The sequence below is a fragment of the Homo sapiens genome, chromosome 3 (genome assembly GCF_000001405.40).
Source record: "Homo sapiens chromosome 3, GRCh38.p14 Primary Assembly".
NCBI classification, from domain to species: Eukaryota; Metazoa; Chordata; class Mammalia; order Primates; family Hominidae; genus Homo; species Homo sapiens.
The window spans coordinates 182,931,744-182,957,010 of record NC_000003.12 but is presented as its reverse complement, the minus strand read 5'-3'; the positions used below and the strand labels follow the sequence as shown (position 1 = coordinate 182,957,010).

Genomic DNA, 25,267 nt, shown 5'->3' with positions numbered 1-25,267 from the left:
ATTCCAATTATTTTAACTATTCTTCTTACAGGAGACATTTGTTATTCCCACTACTATCCCCCCAAACACATTTCCAATTTCTTTCAAAATAGAGCCCATAAAGTTGAACATCATATTTCAAAAGGAGCCTAAGTAATATAGAACACCGTGGGTCTGTTAATTTTTGTGAGACTATTCATTATGTTAATTTGATCAAAGATTATATATGTTCTTTAGCAGCCATATCATTTTTAGGGCCATACTGAACTTTTATTAGACTAAAGTCTATGAGTCACTTTCTTGTAGGTTGTGGTTCAGCTGGAATCTTATACCTCTACAATTGATTTAAATGATTTGAACATTATTTGTTAAATATTTAGTTTAATATTTAGGAACAATTGTATAGTGTTTTAAAGAACACGATAATCTGTATAATCCCATTTGGTTCTCATAACAACCCCTTTGAGCTAAGTAAAAGCATATTATCTTCTCCATCATATAGATGAGGAAACTCATAGCCAGAGAGACTGACTTGTTAATAAGGTCGCCTAACTGGAGAGTGGTTGGACTGGCACTGAGACTAGATCTCAGGCCTTATGACTCCACATTCTGTGTTTTATTGTTGTTGTTGTTGTTATTTTGTGTTAGCCGTAGATATTTCTAAGTAAATTAAGACATTGTGGCTTTTGCCTGCTCCCAGTGAGGGGTGATTGGGGTTTTGGTGATGAGCTCCCAGAAAGGCAACGTGCCTCATTCCAGGCCTCAGAAGCACCAGAATATATTTAGCTTCAAAAATGACAAGTTCAACTGGGCATGGTGGCTCACGCCTATAATCCTAGCACTTTGGAGGCTGAGGTGGGTGGATCACTTGTGGTCAGGCGTTCGAGACCGGCCTTACCAACATGGTGAAACTCTATCTCTACTAAAAATAAAAAATTAGCCAGGCATGGTGGTGCCTGCCTGTAATCCCAGCTACCCGGGGGGCTGAGGCAGGAGAATGGCTTAAACCCGGGAGTCAGAGGTTGCAGTGAGCTGAGATTGTGCCACTGTACTCCAGCCTGGGCGACAGAGCAAGACTCTGCCTCAAAAAAAAAAAAAAAAAGTTTGATAAGCATGTTTAGACCAAGAAAAGTAACACAAAACCATGGTGCGGCTGGGCGCGGTGGCTCACGCCTGTAATCCCAGCACTTTGGGAGGCCAAGGCAGGTGGATCTCCTGAGGTCAGGAGTTGGAGACCAGCCTGACCAACATGGTGAAACCCTGTTTCTACTAAAAATACAAAAATTAGCCAGGTGTGGTGGTGGGTGCCTGTAATCCCAGCTACTCGGGAGGCTGAGGCAGGTTCACTTGAACTTGGGAGGTGGAGGTTGCAGTGAGCCGAGATCGCACCACTGCACTCCAGCCTGGGTGACAGAGCGAGACTCAGTCTCAAAAAAAAAAACCCTCCTGATGGAGTATGTCAGCGCTGTAAAGAAGTTCTTGAGTGGCATGTAAAATATAGCAAATACAAACCATTATCCAACCTAAAAAATGTGTTAAATGTTTACAAAAGACAGTGGAGGATTCTTATCTCATAACGTGTAGACCATGTGCCTATGAACTTGAAGTTTGCGCAAAATGTGGGAAGAAGAAGACATTGCTATTCTGTTCAATAAAGAACCAGGAAAAACAGAGAATATTGAAAATAATCTAAGTTCCAACCATAGAAGAAGCTGCAGAAGAAGTGAAGAAAGTGATGATGATTTGGATTTTGATATTGGTTTAGAAAACACAGGAGGAGACCCTCAAGTGAATTAATATTACTGTATTAAAAGTCAGTTTAAATTAGCCGGGTGTGGTGGCGCATGCCTGTAATCCTAGCTACTCGGAAGGCTGAGGCAGGAGAATCCCTTGAACCCTGGAGGCAGAGGTTGCAGTGAGCCGAGATCGCACCATTGCACTCCATTTTGGACAGCAAGAGCGAGGCTCAGTCTCAAAAAAAAAAAAAAGTCAATTTAAGAATGTGAAATTCTGACCAACTTCTGACTATTTCACAAAAGATACTGTGAAATCCTAATGAGGAAATCAGAAAAACCTTTAGAAAAGTAGACAAATTTTAGACACGAACAATATAAATTGTGTATGATGTATTATCTAATACCAAACTAAACCAGATTCAGAATTGATGGTTGTATAAGAAAGGAACCACCTCATGTAAAAATAAAATGACATTATTATATTGCTAGCCTCAAAAATTGGTCCTCAGTAAGTGCCTTTTGGTAAATGATCTCAAGTAAATGACTCATAGCAAAAGCCTCATACTTATGTTTGCATGTTAAAAAGCAGAAGCAGCATTCTCAAATACTAATGTTTAACAAGTGTATGGCGATTTTTATTTGTATTTTTATATACCTCATCACATTGTTTTTACCTTTTTTCTCGTGAAATGTGCACACAGAAAAAAATGCATAGAATTTATATAGATAATTTAATAAATATAAAGAAAAGTTCATGCATTTATACAGCCAGGTGAAGAAACTGCCGGCATCAGAAGATCCCAGCAAGGCTCTCGTTCAGCAAAAGCTCATCTTTCTTCCCAGAGTTGGAAATTATTCTGAATTTTGATAATTATAGTCTTAATTCTTTTACTACCCATGTTTCTGTTCCTAAACGATATAAATTAGCTTTGTCTGGTTTTTTAACTTTCCTCTTTTTGTTTTGAAAAATATCAATTGAAAATATCAATCAGAAAAGGTAGCAAAATAGTTCTGTGAACTTTTGCGTATTCTTCACCTGGATTCCCAATTGTTAACATTTTACCACGTTTTCTTTATATCTCAGTAGATGGATGTACACACATATTTTATTTGCTGAACCATTTGAAAATGTGCACTGGTTTTGAACTTTGTATGAACAGACTTATACTATATATGTTATTTTATATCTCTTTTTTCATTGTTATAAAATTTGTTGAGATTGATTAAAAAAGACATTGTGAATAGGATTTTTAATCACCATTCCATCCTCCCCAGTGAGCTGGCAACATTTTGTTTCTTTTAGGGACTGTGATTGGGTCTAGTCTCAATTCATTTCCATGTTCATCCTGCATTCAGCTGATCATCTGTTGTGAAATACCACATTATTCTTGTTGATTCTCTTTGAAAGAATAACATGGGGAGTATCTCTGTTTGCATTTTACATTTTACCGTAAGGACTTAAGGATTTATTCTGCAAGGATCTCAATTTTATGCAATAGCTTGTTATTAGGACTTAGTTATTTCTTTTTCTCTATATTTGCCTTCCATTTATTTTAACTGCTGTTGCTTCTTGTTACCTTATCACTGACTTTGTTGTCTTTTCCAATACTGCTTCAGAATCTAATAGTTCTAAATGATTTAAAATAATGATAATAGTAAGAACTGATATGTTATTTACCAGGTACTGTTACGAATGCTTTGTTATGTATTAACTCATTTAGTCCTTAGAACAACCAGGTAAGGATAGGTACTATTGTTATCTTCATTTTAAACTGAATCAAGGAGAAGTCAGCCCAGTTGCCCAAGGTCACTTAACTGGTGGTAGAGTAGGGGTTTAAGAGACTAAAACTCATACTGTAAACTACTATGTTAAATCACCTCTCGCTAGCTAAGCTGCTCTCTTCATCACTTATAAATTTCTTTCTGAGGGCTTCTTTTCCTATACCTGTGACAATTAACATTTTATCCTTGTTTAATCTTATGTATTTCAGCTCTTAGTTATAACTTATTAATCTTTTTGAGTTAAAGTCTTCCTTTTTTATTCAAAAACACTTGACTGCTTTCACTGAGAGCATGGAGTCAAGAGCATCTTTAGTCTGTCTGGGGTAGTTTGCAGTACCTTCAAAAAGGGTATAGTTTTTGAGCCTTGAAGAATGAATGCACATTTTCAAGACCAAAGGAAAAAAGAAGCCATTTCAGGTTGAGGGGTTAGCATGTTCACTTGCTCAGAGGTGAAAGAACATTCCACCTTTGAGGAACTGCAAGTGAGTTCATTTGACAAGAAGTGCAAATTTTATCTAAAGGTAATTGGAAATGATTGAAGAATTTTAACATGGAAGTGACACCAGATTCATGCCTGAAAGGTCGATCTCAAAGCACTGTGGTCCTTTGAAAGGAGTGAAAGCTGAACTAGAAGAGAGATTGGTTATGGAGCTATCCCAGTGATTTAGTTAGAAATGAGGAATATCCTAACATAAGCCTTCCCAGTGGGGATGGAGAAGAGATAGATTTAAAAGGTACTTTGGTTGGTTGTGTATGATGAGGAAGGAAGGAGCCTTTCTCAGGGATTATCAACACTTTCAGGAGACATCTGGGGAACCTGTGGGGTTTTTGTCGTAATGACCTAAGGTTTCTACTGGCCATGGGAAGGGGGTGCAGGGTGGTGGGGATGGGGGTGGTGCTAATGAGAAGTGTTCCATTGAGAAATACTATAGTGGGTGGTGACATAGAAGGAAGAGCAGGTCTATAGAGGTAAGATAGAGTTCAGTTTGAGCCCTCCTGAGTTGAAGTTGTTCGTGGATACCAAGTTGGAAGATGTCTTCAGGCAGTTAGATATCTGAGTCTAGAATATAGAGATAGGTTTCAGATTTAGGAGCTGTTAGGGGCGGTTGAATGTATAACATGAAAAATGATATAGGTTTGAAAATCTGAGGGAGGTTGGAAAAGTGGTTATTGTTGACACACGTTGTTACAAAACACCAACATGTAATGGACGAATGGAGGAAGAGGAGCCCCAGGAAAAGAAAGTGAGAAGCCTAGATTGAATGGAGGAAAATCAGTAGAGTGCTTATCATTGAAGCTGAAGGAAGTGACAGTTCTATCAGGAGGTATGCTCAGTTCTCTAAGATAAGGCAGAGAGGACATAAGAGTATTCATTTAGTAACCAGAGGGTCTGATGACCCTTCAGAGTTTAATTTCATTGGAGTGGATGACAGGTAGACATTGGTTAACAGGATTAGAATGTGTGGGAAATGGGGAAACCGGGCAATGAGTGTAGACTATAAGAAATTCCCTTCTTTTGGACGTGCGTGGTGGCTCACACCTGTAATCCCAGCACTTTGAGAAGCCGAGGTGGGCGGATCACCTGAGGTCAGAAGTTCGAGACCAGACTGACCAACAGGGAGAAATCCTGTCTTTACTAAAAATAAAAAATTAGCTGGGCATGGTGGCTCATGCCTGTAGTCCCAGCTACTTGGGAGGCTGAGGCAGGAGAATCACTTGAACCCGGGAGGCGGAGGTTGTGGTGAGCAGGGATCGCACCACTGCACTCCAGCCTGGGCAACAAGAGTGAAACTCCGTCTCAAAAAAAAAAAAAAAAAGAAATTATCTTCTTTTACAACCTGAACTTTCTTTCTTTTGTGTGTGGTGGTTTTTTTTTTTTTTTTTTTTTTTTTTTTTGGGAGACAGGGTCTCTCTCTGTCACCCAGGCTGGAGTGCAGTGGCACAATCATGACCCACTGCAGCCTCAACCTCCTGGGCTCCATCACTCTTCCTGCCTCAACCTCTTGAGTAGCTGGGACTACAGGCATGTACAACCATGCTCGGCTGGTTTTTTTGATTTTTAGTAGAGACCAAGTCTCACTATGTTGTTCAGGATTACAACCTGAACTTTTACTTTTGTCAAATTCTTATTTTGGTATATCAGCTTGACATACTGGCATTTATAGGTGCCACATGGTTAGTACTTATTTGAATATTTCATCATCATCCTTATTTTATACAAATTAGTTGAAAAGGAAAAAAATATACTAGCAATATGCTTAGTTCTGATAAACTTAAAGCATTTAAAGTGAAGTGAATTAAGCACACTAATAACAGCAAATATTTAGTCACAACATTTTTGGCACTTAAGCCAGACAATTGTATGTTGAGTTGGTAAAGAAAAGAACAGAATTGAACAACCTGGAAGGAATATTGGCTTTACAGATTTTACACATTGCAAAGATTAAAAGGGAAGTGCCATTAGAAATTGGTGTTATGTATTTTTTTTTTTTTTTTTTTTTTTTTTTGAGACAGAGTTTTGTTCTTGTCACCCAGGCTGGAGTGCAATGGCGCCATCTTGGCTCACTGCAACCTTTGCCTCCCGGATTCAAGCGATTCTCCTGCCTCAGCCTCCCGAGTAGTTGGGATTACAAGTGCCCACCATCGTGCCGGCCAATTTTTTTGCATTTTTAGTAGAGATGGGGTTTCGCCATGTTGGTCAGGCTGGTCTCGAGCTCCTGACCCCAGGTGATCCGCCCACCTTGGCCTCCCAAAGTGCTGGGATTACACCCGTGAGCCACTGCGCCCAGCCAGTATTATGTATTTTTTAGTTCTCTTAAAACATGGGCATCAGAATTTGATTTTCAAACAAATTATGTATAAAAGTAGAAGACTCTGAGTGCTATTTCAAGGTTACCTGTGAAGGGAAGGAGAAAAAGGGTATAGCCAGTAAAGGTGATCAAGAGATCCAAGAGAGCTACAGAGTGAGACCGTGTCTCAAATAATAATAACAATAATAAAAACAAACCTATTTTGATTGGTCAAAAAAAAAGATCCAAGAAAGATTTTTAAAAGATAAGTGATAACTTGGCTGGGCGCGGTGGCTCATGCCTGTAATCCCAGCACTTTGGTAGGCTGAGGCAGGCGGATCACAAGGTCAGGAGATAGAGACCATCCTGGCCAACGTAGTGAAACTCCGTCTCTACTAAAAATACAAAAATTAGCCGGTCGTGGTGGTGCGTTCCTGTAATCCCAGCTACTCAGGAGGCTGAGGCAGGAGAATTGCTTGAACCAGGGAGTCGGAGGTTGCAGTGAACCGAGATTGCACCACAGCACTCCAGCCTGGTGACACAGTGAGACTCCATCTCAAAAAAAAAAGATAAGTGATAACTTGAGCATGTTTCTTGATGGAGTTCGAAATGCCAGAGAACAAGGTAAAGTTGGAGATGTTGAGAAGAGGGGAAAGCAAATCAACAGACAAGATTCCTTAAAGAGGTAGGATGGTATTGGATTTAGAATAGAGCTATAAGGGGCTTATCCTTGGATAGAAGAAAGGAGAGTTTCTTCTGTTGAGTTTGAAGGAAGATGAGGATGATGGATTTGAAGGTAAGTATGTTTGTATGTGAAACCATAGGAAGTTTGTCGACTTAGCAGTTTCTGAATGCCTACTGTGTATTTCAGTCTGCTAGTTGAGGAATATGTAGTCTCCATCATTGAAGAAAGTTAAGGGTCAGTCTTGCAGGTTTCCAGCTACTGTGTGTGTATGTGGGGGTGGGGAAGTAGGTATTGTTTTTTATGTTGTTGTGTTGTTTGTTTTTAAGAGATGTCACCTGTCACCCAGGCTGGAGTGCAGTGGCATGATCATAGCTTACTGCAGCCTTGATCTCCTGGGCTCAAAGGATTCTCCCGCTTCAGCTTCCTGGAGTAGCTGGGAATACAGGCATGCACCACCATGAATGGCTAATTTTTAAATTTTTTCTAGAGATGGGGTCTTGCTATGTTGCCCAGGCTGGTCTTGAACTCCTGATCTCAAGCAGTCTTCTCGCCTCAGCTTCCCAGAGTGATGGGATTACAGGCATGAGCCACTGCATGCAGCCTATAATTGATTTCTTACAAATCATCTGTTTTTGACAGTGAATTAGCATCAAGTTTGCTCTTTTTTGTTTGTTTCTGAGACGGAGTCTTGTTCTGTTGCCCAGGCTGGAGTGCAGTGGCATGATCTTGGCCCCCTGCAACCTCCACCTCCCAGGTTCAAGAAATTCTCCTGTCTCAGCCTCCCAAGTAGTTGGGATTACAGGTGCCTGCTACCACGCCCAGCTAATTTTTTTGTATTTTTAGTAGAGACAGGGTTTTGCTATGTTGGCCAGGCTGGTTTTGAACTCCTGACCTCAAGTGATCTGCCTGCCTCGGCCTCCCAAAGTGCTAGGATTACAGGCGAGAGTCACTGCTCCCAGCCTACTCTTTGTTCCTTGTTTTTTTTTTTTTTGAGACGGAGTTTTGCTTTTCTTGCCCAGACTGGAGTGGAGTGGTGTGATCTTGGCTCAGTGCAACCTCCGCCTTCCGGTTTCAAGCGATTCTCTAGTCTCAGCCTCCCGAGTAGCTGGGATTACAGGTGCCCGCCACTATGCCCAGCTAATTTTTGTGTTTTTAGTAGCGATGGGGTTTCACCATGTTGGCCAGGCTGGTCTTGAACTCCTTACCTTGTGATCTGCCCGACTCAACCTCCCAAAGTGCTGGGATTACAGGTGTGAGCCACCCCGCCTGGCTCTTTGTTGCTTTTAAAAATTGGGGCAGCACTTGCCTCAATTTTTGTCTTTCCTAATCACTCATGATTTCTCAATTATAAAGAATGGTTTCGAGATGTCATCTATCAATAAAAGGACTTTTAAGTTACTTAGGATGTAATTTTTCTTGTGCTGGAGAAGTAAATTCACTCATAAAAACTAAACACTTTCTTAACTGCTATGGTTCCTTGAAAGAGATCATAGTTCTCTGTCATGTGATAAGTGTAGTTCTCTGTCATGTGATAAGTGTAGTTCTCTGTTGTGTGGTAAGCGTAGTTCTCTGTTGTGTGATAAGTGTAGTTCTCTGTCGTGTGATAAGTGTAGTTCTCTGTCGTGTGGTAAGTGTAGCTCTTTCTTATGCGGCATTATTGCCTTCTCTACCCTTCTCTGGTCCATGCCCAGTTAAAAAGTCATTTATATTGTCTTTGGCAAACTTTAAGAAATTCTTGGTTTCTTATTAATTTTAAGTTTTAGATCAGTATTTTTAATGATCTCTTTGTGGTCAGGATCAGTCAGTAAATAATTTAGAGCATAAGGTTACTTAGGATTGAAGAGCAGTCCTTCACCTTCCAACCTGTAGGTGTACATCAGGGATTCTCATCTGGGTTGGCCCTCAGGTTGTCTTTGGCAATATATGGAGACATTTTTTATTGTCACCAGTGGGGGCTGAGTGAAGCTGCTACTGGCATCTAGTGGATGGAGGTCAGAGATATTGCTAAATTTCCTACAGTACACAGGACAGCACCCTACAACAAATAATTATCTGGCCTAAAATGTTGGAAGTGCCCAGGTTGAGAAACCCTGGTGTACAGTAACTAATATTTGAACACTTTTGTGAGCTACTATGTTTAACTGCATTCTCTAATTTAAAACACAGAATTCCCCCGTGAGATAAGTAGTATCATTTTTTGCCCTAAAGGCCCTGGTCATTTTTGAAGAGGGAGGATACAAACTTTGGACTCATTTGTATAGGAAATTTTTAATACATAAGTATTCAGGATACAAGTTTTTTATTTTTAGACTTTCTTTGGTCATACCTGTTTTTTTGTTTGTTTGTTATTTTTGCAGGGACAAATATTTATAGCATTTAAATACATAATTCATTTTTACTATTTCAGATCTAGAAATGGCCATTGCCTACTGGAACTTAGTGCTTAATGGAAGATTTAAATTCTTAGACTTATGGAATAAATTTTTGTTGGTAAGTTCACATTTTCTACATTTCTCTCTGTTTTCTCAAATTCTGCTATGTTTAAAGATAAATTAACATAATGTATTGGATATAGAATGAGAAATTTGATTACCAGAATTTTGTTACATAATTGTTTTGCATTCTTGTATTTCAAATTGTCCAAACTGTTTTTGTGCAGCTCTTTTTAGTGATACAAATGTATTTTGTTTTTGTTTTTTAAATAGGAACATCATAAACGATCAATACCAAAAGACACTTGGAATCTTCTTTTAGACTTCAGTACGATGATTGCAGATGACATGTCTAATTATGATGAAGAAGGTAATGAAAATTTTTGCCACACCACTTTTTTTTAATGTGCCTTTTTATCCCATACCCTTGAACTTCTTAGGTACTTTTGTTTTTCTCGGAGTTGGAATTCCCTCCGCTGAGCTTTTGTTTTGTTTTTGTTTTTTTTGAGATAGAGTCTCATTCTGTTGCCCAGGGTAGGTGCATTGGTGCAAGCATGGCTTATTGCAAGTCTTCAAACTCCTGGGCTCAGCAGTCCTCCTGCCTCAGCCTCCCAAGGAGCTAGGACTACAGGCATGCGCTGCAATGCCTGACTAATTTCTTAATGTTTTATAGAAGCAGGGGTCTTGCTCTCTTGTACTCCTGGCCTCAAGCAATCCTCCTGCCTTGGCATCCCAAAGTGTTGGGATTATAGGCATGAGCCACTGTGACCAGCTCCAAGCTTTTTTTAATGCTCTTCTGAATGTATGAAATACCTTCATACATTTACCAATCCATATTCTTCTGTTTCCTTCAATTCCTACTCAGCATTCATGTCTTCCAGAAAGGCATAAGTAATTTTTATCCATGTTTTAGGTTTTCAGTTTAGGAACCTTTTTACTTCTTGATGTACTTTTGTACTTATTTGTATCTCTTTTTCATCTGTTAGTCTTTTGTATAAGCTTGGTTGTAAATTCCTTAAGTTCAGTGACTTTTTTTTTTTTTTTTTTTTTTGAGATGGAGTCTTGCTCTGTCACCCAGGCTGGAGTGCAGTGGCGCAGTCTCAGCTCACTGCAACCTGTGCCTCCTGGGTTCAAGCGATTCTGCTGCCTCAGCTTCTCAAGTAACTGGGATTTCAGGTGCCTGCCACCACGTTCACCTAATTTTTTGTATTTTTAGTAGAGACGGGGTTTCACCATGTTGGCCAGGCTGGTGTTGAACTCCTGACCTTGTCATCCACCCGCCTCGGTCTCCCGAAGTGCTGGGATTACAGGCATGAGCCACTGCGCCCAGCCTATTTTTTTTTGAAACTTACTTCAGCCGCCTAATATAGTACTATTGGCATTCAGTAAATAATCACTGAATACTTTTCTGCTATTTCTTCATAAATGTATAAAGATGGTGCTACCATCCACTACTAGGATGTGGACTTGTATTTTTCTATATGTAGAAGTGATTTACATTGATTTCTTCATACATATTTCCCTAGTCCACTTGAGAACTGGCAGGATGCAAGATGGAGATATTTTTTGAAAAACCCCCTGTGATCTCGGTGTCCTGGAATCATTTAAAAGTGTCCTGGAATCATTAAGGCTAATCAGGGATGATGTTATTTCTTTTCTTCATTTCGTTGTCGTTTATAATCTTCCCTGCAAAGTGAGAAATGTTTAATCCTGCATATACCTAATAATTGTGTCTTCTGGTAGGTTTTACACAAAAATGGAGAGCTTTCTGACTTGGTGATGGGCATGTGAATGTGTAGAGGCATGCATATATGCAATTTTACACCTTTTAGTAACGTATTAGCATGAAATAGGATGGAATTTGACACTTCCTGTTAATCTCCTTTGTGAGATGGCCACAGAATGCTTGAAAACTTGTTTCTCCTCCTATGCCTTCAGCACTGGCAGCATGCTATCATTTCATAGCTGCTCCTTAGGCTGCCAGTTTTTTGTTTGTTTGTTTGTTTGTTTTGAGAGGGAGTCTCGCTCTGTCCCCCAGGCTGGAGTGCAGTGGCGCGATCTCACTGCAAGCTCCGCCTCCCGGGTTCACACCATTCTCCTGCCTCAGGCTGCCAGTTTTGACCAAATTACTTCCATTGGCTGACTGCAGTGGCCTTGAGAAAATCATATTATTGATGAGTTGCCAGACAAGTTACTTTTATCACTCAAGGAACAACCAAATGTTGGAGTAATAAATCACAAGGAATACAAGGAATATTTGGGGTAAAAACTCCAAAAAGTTTGAGTTTTGAAAGACTTAATCAGTGGGAATAGATAAGAATGATATACTTTAACGCTTATGAGGAAGTCTTAAAAAAAGGATTCTACTAAAATGTTAGCCTTATTTCTGCTTTTTTCCCCCTTCTCTTTCTTTCATATTTTTTCTTTTTTCCAGGAGCATGGCCTGTTCTTATTGATGACTTTGTGGAATTTGCACGCCCTCAAATTGCTGGGACAAAAAGTACAACAGTGTAGCACTAAAGGAACCTTCTAGAATGTACATAGTCTGTACAATAAATACAACAGAAAATTGCACAGTCAATTTCTGCTGGCTGGACTGAACTGAAGATCAATCCTCACAATTCAGACTGAGGGTTGAGACAAAACTTTAAGGATACATCTTGGACCATATCGTATTTCATTCTTCTAATGGTGGTTTGGGCTTGTCTTCTAGTCTGGGCCGCTCTAAACATTTATAATTCCAACATTGTGGATTTCATCTTATATCTGTGGACCATCCTAGTTTATTCTCCCATAAGTCTTAGAAGCTTTATGGTGATTATTTTGAGGTTTTCATTCTCGCATAAAGCACAATGCTGTCTTCATCAGAAAACAGTTGGCATAAGAATTAAACATATGAACATCACAAAACAATTTATAAAAACTTCTTAAATATACGCTTTGGGCTAGTTGCAAAGACTATGCTAATAGCACTTCCAGTGAGAGTGATATATTTAAGTGTACTGGATCTGGAATGGTGTTTTGGTTTGGGGGGAATTTTTTTTTTTTCCTGGCAAATCACATGTGTTGTTGATGTGAGTATCTGATGAAAAAACAATGTCAGAATAACCGACATGAAAATTTTTTAGGATAACTTGGTGCCTACCTGAAAAATGTATTGTGTTTTAGACTCTTGATTTCAAAAGGTTCCACAGAACTAGTCTGCGCTTACCTTACCCATGTTTATATATAGCTGTCCTACAGGGAGCTTTTATTTAGAAAATGTCTGCATAATGTTAGATTCTTCTCCTGTCTACATTATGCACTACATAATTGGACTTCATTATGCTTTTGAAATGCTTATCTGCCTGTCACATAAGTTAAACTATTTAATTTGTTTTGAATGTTTTGGATTGCTACACAATACAATATTCTAAATTTAGGCATGAGGGTTTTTTTGTTTTGTTTTTACTTTTTTTTTGTCATCGCACTATGGAACACAAATGGAATTCTCTTAATTTATAAGAAGATAGTTGCAGTTAAATTTTGAAAATGGTTGTAATGAGCCATGAAGTTCAATCTTTATAATATAGGTACTGCTCTTTCAGACAAATAGTCCATTTTCGATGACTTATTATTTTGTTGAAATTGCTTTAACTGCTAATCACTGTGGTTGCCAAATATTTACTTCAGGAGCAAAGATTTTCAAACAAGCATACACGATGCAAAATACCAATCTGGCTTCTAGTCTCTTTACTGTTTTCGTTTCACTCAGATTAGCTCAGTTTTCTCATCAAAGCAGAATGCTATCTTGTATGTATTTTTTTCATTACAAGCCCCATGAGCTGCTTTTATGCTGAAAATGGTCATTTCCCTGTTCACTTACTGACATGTGAAGAAGGGTTTCTTGCTTTCTTAAACATTTCCGTAAGGCAGGCTAGAAATGTAATACTTCAAATGTTTGATGATTATGGTCTTTTGATAGGAATAGATTCTGCTTGGGATATATATCCAGGCACTCTCTAAGGTCTAGGGTTGATATTAACAAAGGAATGTACTTAGAATAGCAGTACATTTTATGCAAATATGGAAATTATTTTAAGAAACAATGACATATCAAAACTGCTTTTTACATGATTTTGAAATAGACTAGAAAGCTTTCCCTATAGACATATTAATATTCCAATCATAACTTTAATTCAAGAATGCAGTTTTACCAAAAGAAAAATTTGAAAATTTCTATTCAGGCTACTGGAATTGGTTATTAAAAGAAAAAGGAAAAAGAAGAATCTTGCTGCTTTCAGTATTTCCTGATTTTTTTGTAAATATAAAGAGGAACTTCAATTATGAAAAATTTTTAAAAGATATATATATCTATATATCTATATATATGTACTGTTTTGTTTCCTGTCTTGAAGATTTTGAGTTATGGTTATTGGTTTCAGATTGATTAATTCACATATGCTGTGTTTTGAAATGAGATCCCATTAGCTTTTTTTTTTTTTTTTTTTTTTCAATATAAAGTGTTTTCTTTAAAAGTCATATTGGTTCGTGGCCTAGTGCCTTGGATTTTACATATTTTTCTTTTTAAATGCAAAACCTTTTCAACAAAATAGTGTTTGTCATCAGGTTGGTACTAAACATTTATAATTACTGTGTAATTATAAACAAAAATACATAAAGCTTTGAATATAATTATGTAGCATAAAAGTTAAGGTTGTTCACTATGATGGCATCTTAGAATTAAACAAAACTTTTACTAGGGCTGAAAAGAGAAGACTGATTTAATGTGGTGTGATTATTCTGAAGATAAATGTCTGGCTACAGGGAATATTTTGTACTAAAAAATGATTACACATATGGCTGTGTGTGTTTGAGTCTGTGTCTGTGAGAGAGCCAGAGAGAGTGAGAGAGATTGACAGAGAAAGGGAGAGACACACACACGCCCCTTGAATTGCTTTAACTCCTAAGTGTTTCAGTCCTCATTCCGGTAAACTCCCCATGCTGATTCTTTGTTTTAAACTGAACCATAGGTACAGTTTCCTTTTTGCCAAATGTCAAAACAGGTACAAATTTTAAAATGTAATGCTTTTTAAATAGAAAAATGTATAAAATTAGAAGTGCCCACATATAAAAAATACTTGAGATGAAGATTATCTTTAGTGAATATCATCTGCATATCTCTGTAAGTTCAATTGTGTTTCTTACAGTCCCTGTCATATTACCAACAGAGGCAATAAAAGCTGCAGTGAAATTGCCATGACTAAATCTTTTCACATATTTCAGTGTATTTTTTTTATAGATTTAAAATATACCTGAAAACTTTTCTAGGAAGAATAATTATTCATGGAAAGAGCATTGTAATGGCATGTTTTGGGGAGAAAAGACATGCCAAGTCTTGTTTACTACATTTAAGATGTTTACAACTATACTGGGCTGCTTTATTAACAATACTGTACTTGCATAATATGGCATTATAAGTACATGTCCTTCCTTAGACTTTTAAAAAGTTTTAATGAGAGAAAGTAAATTTACTCAACAAAATAACATGAGAAATCCTTTACGTAATATCTTTACTGGGGAATTCTTATTTAAGCAAGGTACACTATTTTTTCCTCAGACTTAAATGAATGAAGTGTTCATTTATTTTTTATTTGATGATAATCAAGAAGTGAGTAGTAGTAGCTAACTTAATGTACACTTTGCTTAGGTTTTTAAACATGTTACTATTAAGACTACGTATTGTAAACCTTCTGTAATTTTCACATATGAATGACAGGAGAAAGTTAAACCTAATCGAAGGAGTTTTGGAATAAAAAAGTGGTGCTGGGGAAATTCACCATGGTTCACAAAGTATGCCTTTGTAAAACTGAATCAACTTTTAGCAAGAATTAATTTATGTAGTTTTAAATGTTAAATTGTGTATATTTAACAGAAAATACTTATCTGGCACCTCAGCAGTTTTAATGTTACCTTATACTTTTAACAGTATGATTTATATTGAATACTTAGATGTTTTCATAAGATTTTATCAAATTTGATAATGTAATGATAAAATGTTTTTTTAAATGTGAACTATTTAACATATAAATGGGGACACAAAACCTGAATTGTGATTTCTACATAATGTGATAATTAGGGTTCAAATTATGACTCATCATTTAATTGATTATAAATGAGTATATTTCTGAACTCTTTATTGCCTCCATTTTTACAATCATAATATAGCAATAATTTCTATTTTTATTTCATAGGACTGTGGTGAAGTTATTTATCATGACACCTTTATCTTTGATTTCTGAGGGAAAGGGGTGTATATTTTGTAGTTAAGATAAATGAGAAAGTTCCTAATAGTACAAATGCCCTTTTCCAGGTTTATCTTTGCTATTTGTTGCCATTTTTCTTAAATATTTGCTTTATTTGTACCCGATTTCTGGAGGCAAATAGTGCTGTTTTTTCAAACTCATAATATAGTTACATAAATGATTTTATCAGAGCATTCTTGCTATCTTATTTTCTTTCCTACCTGTTGAGTAAGTAGCATTTCTTGCTCACCAACTCATTTATTTGACTAGGTTCAGTGTTTCCTATTAATGTGTTTTTTTATTTTCCTTTGGTTGATTTTGAAAAATCTGTCACAAATAAGGAAGTTATGGTAAAAGATGCACAGCCTTTGTAGTTAGTGGAATTCTCAATAAGTAATGTCTTTATGGAGTTTTAAAGGGAAATTATTTAAAGGGAATCATGTTATAGTTGTCCATTTTTTAAATTGAGATTTTAAAAGTGTTTTTAAGTATAGCCCAATTTTCTATTTACTTACAAGTGCTTCATGATTGTTTTCTTTTTTATTTTTTGCCATCATGCTGTGCAGAAATCATAATGTAGCTTGTAATACTTCAGAGCATTGGTCTTGAAGCTGTAACTTGGGGCTGCTGTCCTTCATGAGGTAGGGCCATAGCAGGCAGGCCCTTTCCCACTTCCTTTATGGCATTCTACTTTTATCTGTTGTAGGCTGTTAGTGTTTCATATTCGATTTGGTTTGGGGAAAAATACTCAGTTAAAAAAATTTTTTTTAATGATTGGCTTTAGAGGGACTGTTACCTCTTTGGCATATCTGTCAGCGGAATGGAAAGAAATGGAGTCAGACTGAAATTCATGCCAGCTTAATCACTGAAGGCAGCACTGCTTTGAAAAGAAGAATTTTCAACCCACATCGTAAAAACAAAGCCTGATTGGAAACAATGAAGTGTTTGAAACTTAGGGGCAGCATGTAAGTGGCTTAATGAGCAAACAAACGGAACATACTCATTTTATATTTAAAAAGTACATATATATTCAAATGCATGTTCATATGAATATTATAATTTTATTTCAGGTTATGAAATATTCTGAGAAAACCTTATATCTGATGGAAAACTTGGGCAATACCCAATACGAAGCAAGAGATTTTTACAAAAAGAAATACTATAGGGCATAAGGTTGGGGGAAGACCAATTAATGAAATGGCTAAGGGACAATGCTAATTAAATCGTTAACAGTGATTTTGTCACATAATTACATGACTTATAGCTAAAAGAGCAATATTTAATCAGTAAGATTTAGAGATGGGTGTACTTGGAATCCTTTGAAAGCAGCGTGTTTAGTTTTCAAGCAAATGCTAATGTTCTTAATCCTAATAGTATATTAGACTTCGTTGTGTTGAATATATCAAATGAACGAACTATGAACCAGAGCTTTAAAATAGTGATTTGTAAGACTTTGTTACAATGGTACTTAAAAAATTGCTTTGTATAATTTACACACTGTAAAATTCACCCATTGTACATGTACAATTAATTGTTTTTAGTAAACTTAAGAGTTGTGCAGTCCAATTTTAGAACATGTCCATCAGCCCCCAAAATTTACTCCTGCTGCTCTGCGGTTAATTTGCTCCTGCCTCCAGCCCCACGCAGCCACACTGATCTGCTTTCTGTACAGATTTACCCTTTCTAGAAATTTCACAGAGGTAGAATCATGCAGTTAGTCTTTTATATCTGGCATCTTTCACTTAGCATGTTTTTGAGGTTCATCCATGTTGCAGCTTATACCTGCGTGTAGTTCCTTTAGTTGCTGACTTAGTGTTCACTGTTTGGATATACCACATTTTGTTTATCCATTCACCAGTTGATAGACATTTGGCTGGCCTACAATTAGTTTTTTTAAATTGCGAATAATAATGCTATGAACATTCATAAATGTCTTTGTGTGGACATGTTTTCATCTCAGATTCCTAGTTGTGGAATTGTCAGGTTGTGTGGTAAATTTATACCTAACGTTTTTAAAAAAACTGCTGAACTTTTTCCAAAGTGGCTGTACTTCTAGAACTATTCCTGCCACAGTGCATGCGGACTGCCGTGTCTGCACATCCTTGCCAATACTTGTCTTTTTTATTGCAGCCATCCTGGCGGGTATTTACTTTATGTGTGTGAGTTATACCTAGGCATCCCAACTCGTGTATCGATTGGATGTGCAGTTTGAGTGAGTTTCAAGTGGCCTCAGCGATTGCTGTAAAATTAGTTACTCTAGTAGACATGTACTCTCTTGGAGGTAGTATTTTCTGTAGTCAGTGAGGGTAATAATAATACTTCCAGTGGGGGTTCCAGTCCCTCAGTGATCTCTGGTGAGAAGAAATGTGTCAGCGAAGAGTGGTGCTGATGGCTGGTGCTTTGGCTCTGTTATTGTTTGTACCAAGGTTGATACAGCTACTCGACTAGCCTATGACTGACTGGTGGTGGTAATTAAACTTTGTACAGATTACTGTGTGCAGATAGTTACTGTCTTAATATTAAGTTTCCCAGAGATTTTACTTTTGAGATAGCTGAGAATTAACGACTCTTGGAATTTATAAAAATTTAGTTGATACCATTTAGTTGCTGCCAGCTGCCTGTGTTCTTATACATAGGAGACATCGGAGTGAGTGCTTTTTAAAAAATTAATGGCGTATGTCAGGTATATGTAAAAGGACAATTGCATAATGAACTCATGTTAACATGATCAATCCATGGCCAATCTTGATTTATCTAAATGCCATTCATCTTTGAACCCCTATTTATTTTGAAGCAAATCCCAGATAGCAAATCATTTCATTTGTAAATATTTCAATATGTATGTCTAAAAGATAAGGACTGTTAAATAAAACCACAATTCTGTTGTTAGACTTAACTGTTAACAGTTTGTTAGTGTTAATAACTACCCAGCAGTGTTCAAGTTGTGCCTTTTTTTTTTTTTTTCCAATTCAAGTCAGGATTCAAATAAGATTCCTACATTGCATACATCTCAAATGTCCTACCCAGTGGATCCCCACACTCTCCACTCTTTGGCTTCAAATTCATTTTTTTGAAAAAACAATGATTGCTTTAGCACTTTAAATTTCTATGCAATTTCAAATGTAAGGTGAAATTTTGATGTACTTAATAAAAAAATTCTAACGAATATATTTTTCAAGTTAATGTAGTATATAAGAAGCTATTATATCAACAGATTTTCCTTTAACTTAAAAATACATCGTGACTTGTATCCAGAACTCTTACAACTTAATGAAAAAACAACCCAATTTATAATTGAGCCAAGGATTTGAATGGACATTTCTCCAAAGAAGATATACAAATGGTCACTAAGGGTGTGAAAAGATGCTCAATATCATTAGCCATTAGGGAAATGCAAATCAAAACCACAATGAGATACCACTTCCTGCCTGCTAGGATTGCTTTAATCAGAAAGATAAACAGTGACAAGTGTTGCTGAGGATGTGGAGCCCCTGGGTCATCTGTAAGTTGCTGATAGGACTGCAAACCGGTGCAGCTGCTTTGGCAGACAGTTTGGCTATTCCTCATTTAATAGTTAAACAGAGTTAGGATATGACCAGCAATTCTCCTAGTTATATACTCCAGAGGATTGGAAACATGTTCATATAAAAATTTGTGTGTATTTACAGCATTCATAATTGCCAAAAATTGTAAACAACCCATTACATGTCCATTAACTCATGACTGGATAAGTGCAATCTTAATAGTCATTCAGTGGAATAATATTTGGCAGTAAAAAGGAATGAGGGAAGTACTGATACATGCTGCAACGTGCATAAATCTTGAAAACATTATGCTCAGTTAAGCCAGTCACAAAAGGGCACACATTGTACTATTCCATTTGTATGACACATCCAGAATAGGCAAATCTATAGAGAGAAAGATTAGCGGTTGCCAGGGGCTAGGGTTGGAGGTGGAGAATACAAAGTGAGAACTAATAGATACAAGTTTCTTTTTGGAATGATTAAAATGTTCTAGAATTAGTGGTGATGATTGTACTACTTTGTGAATATATTAAAAATTTTAAGACAGTCTTATGGCATATGAATTACATGTCCATAGTGATTTTAAAAATTAAATATAGGCATGCATATCTAAAGACAGTACAGTGGAACTTCATAATACGTTCTTTGAAAGCATCAGGAAAATACATAGTTCCCCATTTTATCTGATTTTGGAGAGAGAACTGATTACACATAGGATTGTTGCATTTCTATTTCATACACATGTAGCTGTAAATTTTCCCTCTTCAAAATTTCCCCATTTAAAAACAGGAAACACTGCACCTTCTATTAATTTTTGATGAATGGAACTTGGTAAATAAGTAGAAAATCCAGCTAATAATATTGAAGATACAAGTATACTACTTTTGTCATGTCTGGAAGGAGTGTGTAGGGAATATGTTTTCAGTGGTTTTTGAAAGTAGTTTAAGGCCAAGCAGACTGTAACTTTGCAATATTTTCTTACTAGCAGGAGTGTGTGAAGGGGCTGCTCTGCATAGCATTCCTGTCTGAGAGAGTTACTGCCCAGCCCACGCTTAGCTGGATACAGGCAGTTTTTGGGCCTCCTTGTTGTACCTCCACTAAGCTGCGAGGGAGAATAGGTTGGTAGTTTCTGTGTGCTATCCTTATCGGGGGGAAAATAATGACATGAAGTATTGATACCCTACCTAGCTGACAGAAGAATTTGGGAAGCCTGAATTCAGATGGAATAGAATTGTTTCCTTTGATTTTTTCACTTTGAGCACTCCCTGGCCTACTTTCTTCCCTTAACTTTTAATAGTGCTATGACTTTACTCAAGGGAGGATGTGTTCTTTAGACCAACCCTATCATAGCTGGAATAAATCTGTATAACTCTCTTCCCCTGGATTTAGGTAGCTGGATCAGGTTTCCTAGCTGTAGCCAGTTCCTTGTTCACTAACTTGCTTGAGCTGATGAGCTGTGGGTCTTTCTAGAGAGAAGTAACCCTTGATATTTATATCTGTGAAAAAAATATCAATAAATTTGAAATGTTAAATGATCTAATTGGCGTTTATTCACAATTTATGAATTGGGCAGCATCTTATCTAAAAATCTACACTGGGCATGGAAGAACAGTCAGTTTTTATAAGGTATCTTGAGCAGGAGCAAAGAAACAGCATAATACAAAATGCAGTTGGTTAACATTAGGTTACTTCAGGTTACTTCCCTTGTAAGGGTAAAATAGAGGGGACTTTCTCATCATGCAGGCTAAAACTGGCCTGTTTGGAGATTTGGCTGTTATCTCTCTCTCCTGATTTATCAGAAGCTCAGATAAACAACTTAGTTTTGGTTTGGTGGCCTGGAACTTTAGCATGAGTGACTTCATTTCGGTTTGGTCTGTTGGGTATAATGCAGGAGCTCAGTCCAAATCCATGGCCTGCTGTAGGTTTCATTTAACGTTTATAGAACTTGAAGTGTGTTCCATTCTATAAGTGAAAGTCAACGTTTACATTCATTTCAGGAAAGATTTTATATTTATTTCTAGAGGGAGAGTGATTGAGAAAGTGGTTACTTTAAAATGTTTCCTAAAAGCTAATTTATGCGTTATTGCCAGCTCCTCTCAGAGAGTCTGTTTGATTTGTACATTTACTTCAGAGTGAGAGATCCCGGTAAATTTGTATAACTGCTTTGGAGAATGTCTTCCTCTTTAACCAGGCCTAGGAAGAGTCTGTCCATTGGTCTAAAGACACCAGTGCCAGGATGTGCCTTTGAAGGCAAGTTCCCAAAGTTGCGTAGGAAGGAATTCAAGTTCTAAATCCAAATTATCAGTTTAGCTATTAAAGCTCTGTTAGGCAGGATCTTCTCTGATGACTGTTTAATCTTTTCTGGTAGAGCCTTATCTCTTCAGAGATCACAACCTATTTCCCATTGCCAATTGCATGTTTAAGTAGTAATTGGTTCAGCATGATATCCCCGTTTTGATGAGCACTTTGATTCTGTTCAATTTGAAGAAGTCTTCTGTAAAATGACAATCCACCAAAAAGATGGATCCCTTTTGAAACTGTTAGCCTGTGACTAGAACAGGCTGGCTTCTGTGCCTATTAGCTGTGGTTAGCAGGATCCCATGTTTCTGTTACCTGCCAACGTTCCTCCTGATGGGGAGGTAGGACATATCAGTGCTTTATGGATAACTTTATTCAAAGTATTTTGAGATAGCAGAGGACCTGGTCTGTTTGCTGCAGTTGCTCTGTTATAAAAAACACCCACTTTTATACTGAGAGATCCTTGAGGATATTAACTCAAGTGCTGTCTTAGAATATGTCTTCTTTTTATTGGGTTATAAAAGATTTAAAAAATATATTCTGGATCAAATCTTAGATATATATTTTGTATTTACTTTTTCCTGGTTGGTGGCTTGTCTTTTCATTTTCTTAATCGTGTTTTTTTTTGAGACAGGGTCTTGCTCTATCAGGCAGGAGTGCAGTGGTGCAGTCATGGCTCACTGCAGCCTCAACCTCCTAGGCTCGAGTGATTTTCCCATCTCAGCCTCCTAGTAGGCAGGACTACAGGCATGTGCCACCACATGTAGATAATTTGTAAAGTTTTCATAGAGATGGGGTCTCACTATGTTGGCCATACTGGTCTTGAACTGCTAGGCTGAAGCCATCCTCTTGCCTTAGTCCCCCAAAGTGCTGGGAGTACAGGTGCGAGCCACTGGGTCCGTCCTTATTTTCTCTATAAGTTTTATATTTGTAGGTCTTCATTTTAGGTTTCTCATTGGATTTGAGTTAATTTATACATGTGGTATGTGAAGTAACGGTCTAGGTTCTTCTTTATTTTTTTTACAAAAAGATATCCAGTTTTTCCAGTACTATCCATTAAAAAGACTATCCTTTCCCCACTTAATTATCTTGGTACCTTTGTCAAAATCAGTTGCCCGTGTGTGTGGGTTTATTTCTGGGCTCCCTTCTTTTCCATGGATTTCGAGGTCAAATCTTAAACCTATGGCACACTGCCTTGGCTGCCAGAGCTTTCTGTTTTCACATCAGTGCTTTCAGTTCTCCAACTTTGTGATTTTATGAAATTTTTGATCACTTTAGGTCCTTGATACTTGCATTTGATTATTATTATTACTATATTTTTTTGAGACAGAGTCTTACTCTGTCACCCAGGCTGGAGTACAATAGCGTGATCTTGGCTCACTGCAACCTCTGCTTCCTGGGTTCAAGTGATTCTCCCACCTCAGCCTCCTGAGTAGCTGGGACTACAGATACCCACCACCACACCCAGCTAGTTTTTGTACTTTTAGTAGAAATGGGTTTTTTTCATGTTGGTCAGGCTGGTCTTGAACTGCTGGCCTCAAGTGATCTGTCCGCCTCAGTCTCCCCAAGTGCTGGGATTACAGGTGTGAGCCACCATGCCAGGCCTCTACGGCCTCTATGTACGAATTTTAGTGTCAGTTTTTCTTAGAAAACGACAACAACAAAAACCCAAAAACTTTTTTAAAAAGTCCTGCTGGGAATTTGATGGAGATTGTAACCACTGTTGAATGGTTCTCAATCAGGGGCAAATTTGCACCGAAGGGTCATTTGGCAATGTCTGGAGACATTTTTTATTACAACTAGAGTAGGGTGGAGCTACTGGCATCTAGTGGGGCCGAGGATGTTGCTAAACATTTTTTAATGCACAGGATGGCTCCATATAACAAAGAGTTGTCCTAAGTGTCAATAATGCCAAGGGTTAGAAATCTTACATTAAATCTATAGATTAATTTGAGGGGGATTGCCATTTTAAGAATATTGAGTCCTCCAATCCAGAAACACAGGATGTCGTCATTTATTTAGATGTTCAATTTTCCTAAGCAGTTTTATGATGTTCTGTTTGCAGGTATTGTACTTTGGTTTAATTTATTTTTTTAAGTATTCTTTTTTTTTTTTTTTTTTTTGAGATGGAGTCTCGCTCTGTCACCCAGGCTGGAGTGCAGTGGTGTGATCTCAGCTCACTGCAACCTCCAGTTCCCCTGGTTCAGTCGATTCTCCTGCCTCAGCCTCCCGAGTAGCAGGGATTACAGGCATGCACCACCATGCCCAGCTAATTTTTGTATTTTTAGTAGAGATGGGGTTTCACCATGTTGGCCAGGATGGTCTCGATCTTCTGACCTCATGATCCGCCCGCCTCGGCCTCCCAAAGTGCTGAGATTATAAGTGTGAGCCACCGCGCCTGGCCTTAAGTATTCTTTTTGATGCGTTGCAAACTTGTTTTTTCAGTTTTATGTTTTGTTTTGTTTCTAGTGTGCATAACTAAAGTAAATTTTCATATATTGATCTTGGATCCTGGAACTGTGCTACACACTTTTATTAGTTCTAATAGTTGTTTGATTTCTTAAGATTTACTATGTACAAGATTATATAATCTGTGAATAGACAGCTGAATTCTTCATTTGTAATCAATGTGCCTTTAATTATTTTTTATTGTCTTATTGCATTAGCTAGTACAATGTTGAATAGAAGTGGTGAAGATGTCACTTTTGCCTTTTTTCCAGTGTTAGGGGGAAAACATTAAGTTTTTCCATTATTAAGTATGATATTAGCTGTACATTCTCTTTTAAGCCTTTGTTGAGGATTTTTATCATGAATGGGTGTTGAATTTTTGTCACATGCTATTTTTTTATCACATGCTATTTGTGTATGAGATAATCATGTGGTTTTTGTTCTTTATTAATATGTTATATCACTTTGATTTTTGGATGTTAAACCAACCCTGCATTCCTGGGGCAAATAGCACTTGATCATGGTATATAATCCTTTTTATATGCTGCTGAATTGGGTTTGCTAATATTTTTAATTGAGGTATAATTCACATAAAATTCACCCCTTTATAGTGTACAATTCAATGGCTTTTACTATTTTCACAAGATTGTACAATGGTCAGTACTATCTAATTCCAGAACATTTTTATCACCCCAAAAAGAAACTCTGTACCCATTAGCTGTCACTCCTCATTATCACCTCCTTCTAGTCCCTGACAACCACTAAAATACTTTCTCTATAGATTTGCCTATCTTAGATATTTCACATAAATGGAATCATTCAATATGTGGCCTCTTGTAATTGGCTTCTTTCACTTAGCACGATGTTTTCAAGGTTTACGGGTATTGTAGGATATATCAGTATTCTTTTATATGACTGAATAATGTTATTGTATGGATATATATTTTGTTTATATATTCATCAGTTGATGGACACTTGGGTTTCCTTTTTTTTTTTTTGACAGAGTTTCGCTCTTGTTGCCCAGGCTGGAGTGCAGTGGCACCATCTCTGCTCACTGCAACCTCCACCTCCTGGGTTCAAGTGATTCCCCTGCCTCAGCCCCCTGAGTAGCTGAGATTACAGGCACCCACCACTATGCCAGGCTATTTTTTTTTTTTAATAGAGACAGGGTTTTACCATGTTGGCAAGGCTGGTCTCAAACTTCTGACCTCAGATGATCCACCCATCGGCCTCCCGAAGTGCTGGGATTACAGGCATGAGCACCACGCCTGGCCAGATTTGCATTTTTTTTACTGTTATATTGAGTAATG

The 25,267-nt window shown here is 37.4% G+C and overlaps 1 protein-coding gene and 1 pseudogene across 11 annotated transcripts in view; both read left to right on the top strand.

Moving 5' to 3' along the window:
* Nucleotides 1–18,937, top strand: part of DCUN1D1 (defective in cullin neddylation 1 domain containing 1) — a 47,845-nt gene extending 28,908 nt beyond the window's left edge. For 6 of the 11 annotated variants that reach the window (XM_011512914.2, XM_011512915.3, XM_011512916.3 and 3 more), the window contains 3 exons: nt 9,379–9,461; nt 9,677–9,773; nt 16,472–18,853. In XM_011512914.2, the coding sequence (XP_011511216.1) occupies nt 9,379–9,461; nt 9,677–9,773; nt 16,472–16,614 (323 nt within the window). In that variant the 3' untranslated portion in view covers nt 16,615–18,853. Of the gene's footprint in view, nt 1–9,378; nt 9,462–9,676; nt 9,774–11,837 lie in introns of all 11 variants that reach the window. The other 5 variants (NM_001308101.2, NM_020640.4, XM_024453601.2 and 2 more) reach the window with 2 other exon arrangements.
* On the top strand, nt 1,418–1,973 carry C9orf85P2 (C9orf85 pseudogene 2; annotated as a pseudogene).
* Nucleotides 18,938–25,267: the final 6,330 nt, after the last annotated feature.